The sequence below is a fragment of the Homo sapiens genome, chromosome 12 (genome assembly GCF_000001405.40).
Source record: "Homo sapiens chromosome 12, GRCh38.p14 Primary Assembly".
Lineage (NCBI taxonomy): Eukaryota > Metazoa > Chordata > Mammalia > Primates > Hominidae > Homo > Homo sapiens.
The window spans coordinates 127,400,721-127,408,892 of NC_000012.12; the positions used below are offsets into that span (position 1 = coordinate 127,400,721).

At 38.9% G+C, this 8,172-nt stretch overlaps 1 annotated feature.

The window, feature by feature from the left end:
- Window positions 1,985–2,180: a silencer, noted in NCBI's record as "fragment chr12:127887250-127887445 (GRCh37/hg19 assembly coordinates)". NCBI's record gives its function as "represses an EF-1alpha promoter that drives an FKBP-Casp9 reporter gene in an ReSE screen in HepG2 liver carcinoma cells {active_cell/tissue: HepG2}" and the evidence as "EXISTENCE:reporter gene assay evidence [ECO:0000049][PMID:32094911]".

Here is an 8,172-nt window from a genome sequence, read left to right on the forward strand (position 1 = left end):
GCCTCTTAATTCTGTTTCATTGATCTATTTGTATATCTTTTTTTCTTCTTTCTTTTTTTTTTAGAGAGTCTCACTTAGTTGCACAATCTCGGCTCACTGCAACCTCCGCCTCCCGGGTTCAAGCAATTCTCCTGCCTCAGCCTCCCGAACAGCTGGGATTACAGATGTCTGTGCTGAGAGCGACTGAATGTAACACTTATGCTGTGCAAAGTTGATTATTTTAGTCACATTGAAATTTATTGTTTTTAATCAGCCATATTAGCTAAAGTCTATGTACAATAAAATTCACCCATTTTACCTATACATATCAATGAAAGTTGACAAATATATATACAGTCATGTAACAGCCATCATTATCAAGCTATAGAATTTTCCCATTACCCCAAAACATTCTCCTCTGCTCCATCGTATTCAATATCCTCTGCATCCCTCCCAACCCCAACAATCACTAACATGCTTTCTCTCATAGTTTTGGCATTTCAAGAATTGTTCATAAATGAGATCATAAAGTATGTAGTCATTGGTTTGGCATTTTCAAATAGCATAATTCTTTTTAGATTCAATCACGCACTTTCATCTATTATATATTCCTTTTTAGTGTTGATTGGCATTCCATTGTGGGGATAAATCACAATTTATTTATCCACTTTTCACTTCCTAGACATTTGGGTTTTTTCTAGTTTGGGGCTGTAGTGAATAAGGCTGCAATAACATTTATGTTCAAGTCTTTGTGTGAACATAGTGTTAGCATACAGTTTTAGTTAACAGCTGTGTTAAAAGAAAAACTTCAGCTGAATTAAATTTAAAGGTTTTTAATTGAGCAATGAAAGATTCACGAATCAGACAGCCCCCAAATCATAGCAGATTTGGAGAGATTCCAGGGGTGCCTCGTGGTCAGAACAAAATTCTTGAAAAAAATAAAAAAGTAAAGTGATGTACAGAAATCGGAAGTGAGGTACCAAAACAGCTGGATTGGTTACAGCTCAGCATTTGTCTTATTTGAACACAGTTTGAACACTCAGCAGTGTATGACTGGTTGAAGTATGGCTGCTGGGATTGGCCGAGACTCAACAATTGTACAGGCACATACTGCTAAGTTCGGTTTTCAACCTTGTCTACCTATTAAGTTAGGTTGCAGTTCATCCACAAAGACTCAAATAAAGAAGTACAGAGCCTTTCTTGGGCCATATTTAGTTTGCTTTAACACCTATGAGTAAAAGTGTTGGGTCTTGTTTTAAGGGCACGTTTAACTGTGTAAGAAATTGCACAACTGTTTTCAAAGTGCTTTTCAACAATTTTGCATTCCCATCAGCAATACATAAGCAGTCTCGTTGCTCCCAAATCCTGGATAGCGCTTGGAATTGTCAGTCTTGTTCATCTGAACCACCTAATCGGTGTGAAGCAGTATCTCATTGTGGTTTTAATTCATTTCTCTACTGACCAATTATATCAACCATCTTCTCATGTGCTTATGAATTATGCGTATATCTTCTTTGCTATAGTACTCTTCTAAGATTTTGATCACTTTTAAAATTGGTCGTTTATTTCCTTATCATTGCATTATAAGTACTTCTTATCATTGGACTATATAGTCTGCATATATATCTTTTATCAGATATAGACCTTGCAGATATTTTCTCTTCATCTTTAGCTTGTCATGACTTTGAAAATGAGTTGATCATATATGTATATATGTATGTATATATATATATATATATATATATATATATGCATACATTTCTAGCCTCTTAATTCTGTTCCATTGATCTATTTGTATATCCTTTCTTTTTTTTTTTTTTTTTTTTTGAGACAGAGTCTTGCTTTGTTGCCCAGGCTGGAGTGCAGTGGCACAATCTCAGATCACTGCAATCTCTGCTTCCCGGGTTCAAGCAGTTCTCCTGCCTCAGCCTCCTGAGTAGCTGGGATTATAGGCGCCCACCACAACACCCAACTAATTTTTGCATTTTTAGTAGAAACAAGGTTTCACCATGTTGATCAGGCTGGTCTCAAACCCCTGACCTCAGGTGATCCATCCGCCTCAGCCTCCCAAAGTGTTGGGATTACAGACGTAAGCCACCACGCCCAGCCTTATTTCTATATGCTTATGCCAAAACCACACTATTTTGATTACTGTCAAGTAATCTTTGAAAGTAAGCTTTGAAATCAGTTTGTATGATTCTATAATTTTTATTTTTTCTGAGGTTTTGTGCTGTTTTTTCAAAGTTCTTTGTAATTCCAAATGCTGATTTCAGTCTTTTGTGTACACTCCACTGCCTTCAGTTAGTTGTTGTTTTATATATAGTTTCTAATTGAAAGCATTAATCTGAAAAGATTCACCCAGCCATTAGCAGAAGAAGCCTCACCAGTGTTAAAGTCTTAAAGGCAGCTCCTGTTTCCATGGACTCTGTGATACCTAAGGGGGATTTCAAGAAGATTCAAAATGACTGTGACTATTCGCTTTCTCCAACAAAGGCATCTGCCTTTGAGTCAGTCATCACTAATGATCATGGAACCTCAAAACAAGACACAATACCACATGTGATTATTTTAACAGCACAAAAGCAAATTAAAAAAATAAAAGCAAGATCAGCAGAGATAGAAAGAAAACATTAGCCAAGAAAAAAACCCAAATGATCCATAGGAAAAAAACAGTTCAATCCACTTTCCTTGAACACCTAAAATGTGAAAGTATTCTGAGACATTTTAAGATGAGCCCAAACAGGACCTTCATTCTCATCAATCCTCATTTTTAGTAGAATTGTTAAGAGAAGCCCAAAAGTACATTGATATGTTAAATGACATTTCAGTTAAAAAATCAGACATTTATCTGATAAACATAACATTGACAGTCACGTTATTTTCATACCTGTCTATTTATCTGATGGTTGTTCAATACTTCTCAAGTGGGTAGAAATTCAATGGACAAAAAAAAATTGTATAGGCTCCTGAAATCCAAAAGTGTATAAATCTGCCCAAGTGAGAAGGTCTCCTTCAAGAAACATGCATTTCCCTGAGTCCAATTAATTAAAACTCTATGATTTCATCGCATCCCCTACTTGGCCCATTATATTAATTACAACAGCCTCACAAGCTTTCTTATAGGCCTATTACTCTAAAGTAACTAGATCTTAAGTCAACCACAGTTAAAAGGTTTGAGTACATGTGACTTCTCTAATTTCTTTGTTAATTAGATCTACTCAAGCACTCCTGAAGTTTTCATGGAAATGTGCTCTTATCGATAGTCTGTTGATTATGAATTTATTTTGTCTCACTGAGCAAGTATGAGCCAGATTTGTGTATAAAAAATGGAAAATTATATTTTAAAAAATTATGTTTTGTCTTGCAAAGTGTGCTTAAGTCCAGGGGAAGAATACAAAAATAAGATGGCCCAGGATAGGAAATGAGTATTATGTGCATTACCGGAGTGGCCATTTCTCTGGGTTCCAGGAAAGGGAAGACAGATTCATGTAGAGTTCAGGTGCTGGTACCTGTGAATTTGCCCAAGGCCCGGGTCGTTTCAACTGAACTCAGAAACCTCAGTGTAAGAAATGGAATCGTAAGAGCCTTCGAAATGGAATCGTTAAGAGCCTTCGAAATGGAATCGTAAGAGCCTTCGAAATGGAATCGTAAGAGCCTTCGAAATGGAATCGTAAGAGCCTTCTAAGGAAATGGAAATGAAGTCTGGATAATGATGACATCTGGAAGTGGTAAGCACCAGGTCAGTCCCTTGGAGGATAAAAACGACGAATTGACCTAAAAAGATAGAATGAAAAGTGAAATCTGAACCAGCTTGGTTCTCCTGACCGTGCACTAATGAAGGGCTCTGGGGTGATACGGTGGACATTCTGAGAGACTGATCTTTGACATAACTATCATCCTCCCCCTCAACCCATGGCCACTAAGGAGAGTCAGAACCATGCTGGGAACAAAGCATAGCCTGGTGGTGCTTCCAGTGTCCAAATGAAGGCAGGAGATTGTGTCTTCAGCTCTGAACCTGCAAGATCAGGATCCACAAAGCCAATTCCTTGAAAACACTATTTAGTCCTAAGGTGATAATGTGTTCCTTTTCTTTGATCCAGGTCGACTTACTCATCCTAATTAGAGGTGCTGGGAGTGTGAGGACAGAATTTTCTGAACCTTGATTCAAGACATGTGGTCTGATGAGCGTGAACTCCATAGAGAAACAGAACATTCAAAGTTAGGAATCTCCATAAAATGCAGTTTAGTGCACCAGTGAAGATATAAGGGAAAACTAGAGACACAATAATCTACAGTCTCAAATTCTTCAAAATACTGTGAATGTACACTTCTCATTGGGGTTCCATGTTTTGGATATAACTCATTCATTAAAACATTAAAACATTAATTAAATGTTTTTTTAACATTCATTACAGCATTTGATACATAGTTTCCTTGCAGTTACCGTGTGCCAAGCTCTGTTCTCAGCGCAGAGACAGTGATCAGCAAGTTAGATGGGATTCCTCCTCCCCTGGAGCTTATTTTTTTTCCTTTTTTTTTTTCTTTTTTTATTGAGACGGAGTCTCACACTGTCACCTGTGCTGGAGGGCAATGGCACAATCTCAGCTCACTGCAACCTCTGCCTCCCAGGTTCAACCAATTCTCCTTGCCTCAAGCTCCCAAGTAGCTGGGATTACAGGTGCCCGCCACCATGCCTGGCTAATTTTTTTTTTTTTTTGTATTTTTAGTAGAGATGGGGTTTCACTATGTTGGTCAGGCTGGTCTCAAACTCCTGACCTCATGATCTGCCTGCCTCGGCCTCCCAAAGTGCTGGGATTACAGGGCCCCGGCCCTGGAGCTTATTTTCTAGTGAGATGAGACAGCACACAAAAAAATAAATGAGACAGTTATTAAACAATGGATGTGGTAGCCATTTGTGCTTTCTCCTAAATTTTGGGCCGTCCAACTTCCCAAAGGATAAGATGGAACTCTTGGCCCATGTGTGGTTGGGTGAAGGCAAATGACGAGTTCTGAACAATGCTCTATGAGCCAGAGTTTTGTGTCTCCCTTCCAGGCAAGAGCATTTTATTGCGGGCGCAAAACTTCTCAAATCTCTCTCTGCTTTAGTTCCAGCCCAGCTCATGAAGGGGATGACCCTGCCTCTTCAGCCATCGGAGCTACCACACTGATCAGAGCCTTTCAACTGGCCTCAACAGATCCATAGTAAGAGAAAAATCTCTGTTCTTTAAATCCACTGGGGCATTTGCCATCACAGAGTGAACTAGCCTATACTGACTGCTGCAGAGGTATGCAGAGATGAAGGTAAAACAAGGTAAAGTGATGGTGAGAGTGATAATTTAAGTAGAGTGGTGAAAGAAAATGTCTCTGGGGAAGTAACATTTGAGATCTCATCAAGAGAGGACAAGAATCAATGGTCCAGACTAGGAAGACAGCAAGGGCAAAGGCACTCAGATGGTAATAAGTTTACCAAGTTCAAGTGCCCATGCTCTACAGACATGTTCAGGCACACATACACTCCTGCATGCATGCACTCATGTGCACACACACTGACTGCAGGCATGCACTCGTCTCTATACACATAGACCTACACACACAGGAGCTCATGTGCACATATATGTGCACACTTAAAAATGCACTCTGCATGAGCACGCACTCGTGCACTCACATGTACTCATGTACACACAAACCGAGCACACACATCCACACACTCCCACATGTGTACACACACACTCACATACACACAAATACCTACACAAACTCACAGTGGAGTTAAAAATAGGAGACAGAGGGTGAACGAACCATTTCCCACAGTCCATCTGCAGATAGTTCCATGACCCAGCCGTCAGCCTAAAGAGTCAGGCACCAGTGACACAGGCCTGTTCCATCCAACCTCACAACAACCCAGCAAGGTGAGGGACTTTCCAGATACCAGCTGCAACAGTGAACGTTGCTGGCTGCAGAGCCCTAGCCCGGTCTTTATTAGTTTGCTAGGGCTGCTATAACAAAGTACTGCAGACTGGGTGAGTTAACAGAAATGCATAGTTTCACAGGTCTGGAGGCCAGAAGTGCAAGATCAAGGTGTCGGCAGGGCTGGTTCCTCCTGAGGGACGTGAGGGAACCATCTGTTCCAGGCCTCTCTTCCTGGCTTGGAAACAACCAACACTTCTACCATACAGTATTATCTGGGACTGATCACTAAGTGCTGCCCACCTGCAAGAGAAAGAAAATGAAGCTCTATTTTTTGAATGGAGGATTATCGAAATAATGTTTGTGTCTATTTTACAACTACCACTGGCCTACTGAGCAAACATTAATGATAGCTGAATTAAGACCTTGGAGGCTTGAGAGCCTTGGGTTTGAATTCCTTTTCTGTCACTTAGTGATAGTTTGACCTTGGATTAACCTCTTCATACCTCTGTTTTCATCTCCGTAAATTAGAATAACAATAACTATATCACCTAGGGATTGTGAGGTTTTAATCAGATAATGTAAAGTAGGTAGATAAAATATACGTATTTGTCACAATGAGCTCAACCCATCATTGCTAACATTTTAATTACTATTAATAATAAAGGGGCTGGGTGCCGTGGCTCACACCTGTAATCCCAGCACTTTGGGAAGCCGAGGCGGGTAAATCACTTGAGCTCAGAAGTTTCAGACCAGCCTGGGCAACATGAGGAAGCTCTATCTCTGCAAAAAAAAAAAAAAAAAAAAAAAAAAAAAAAAAAAAATAGAGCTGGGTGCAGTGGCATGTGCCTGTAGTCCTAGCTACTCTGGTGGCTGAGGCAGGAGAATCTCTTGAGCCTGGGAGGCAGAGGTTGCAGTGAGCTGAGATCACGCCATTGCATTCCAGCATGGGTGACAGGAGTGAAGCCCTGACTCAAGGAAAAAAATAAAATAAAATAAAGGGAGGCATTTGTTATTCTTAGCAGAATCAATCTGTGCTGAAAACAACCCCAACATAATATACCACATACTTAACTTTTTGTGGCTAGAATACAAAATCTACTCTCTGATTTTCACGAATACAATACATTGTTATTAACTATAGTTGCCATGTTGTACAATAGATCTCTTGAACATATGACTTCTGTTTAACCAAATTTTTTTACCCGTTGACCAACATCTCCCCAACTCCCCATCCCAGCCCCCAGTAACTACCATGCTACTCTCAACTTCTACGGGTTCAACTTTTTAGATTTCACATATTAGTGAGATTTGGAATCAACCTAAGTGTGCATCAGTGAATGAATGGATAAAGACAGTACAATATATACACAATGAGATACTATTTAGTATTTTTTAAAGGAAATTATAATATTTGTAACAACATTGATGAACCTAGAGGACATTATGCTAAGTGAAATAAGCCAGGCACAGAAAGAAAAATCCCACATGATCTCTCTTTAGCTTCAATGATGTCTTTTTTAAGCACAGAATTTTTAATTTGATGATATGCAGTTTATCTAGTGTTTTGTTTTGTTGATTGTTTGTTGTCATAGCTAAGAAATCATTACCTAATCCAGGTTTATGGAGATTTTCATCTATGTTTTCTTTCTATTTTAAAAAATTAAGGTGGAAAGCACATAACATAATATTAACTTTTTGGTGGCATTTAGCTCATTCTGATTGTTTCACAACCCACCTTTATCTAGTATGAAAACATTGTCATCACCCCCAAAAGAAAACTCTACCCATTCAGCGGTAACTCCCCATTCCTCTCTTCTTGGAGCTGCTAGCAGCCACAAATCAGTTTACTGTCTCTATGGATTTACCTATTCAGAATATTTCATATAAATAAGATCAAAACTATGTGACCTTCTGTGTCTTCTTTTCCATAGCATAGCATTTCCAAGGTTGAACCACATTGTTGCATGTACAGTATTCAGTTCTTTTTGTAGGTAAATAGTATTATGTTGCATGATATACCATATTGTATTTTTCCATTCACTGGTTGATAGACATTTAGGTTGTTTCTACAGTAGCTATTACAAATAGTGCTGCTATGACTATTCATGCATGAGTGTTTGTTTCTGAACTTGTTTTCAGTTATTTTGCATGTATACCTAGAACTGGAGTCGTGGATCACATAACAATTTTATGTTTAAATTTTTAAGAAACTATCAAACTGATTTCCACATTGGCTGCATTTTTTACAGTCCTATTTGCTATATTTAAAGAATATATAACACC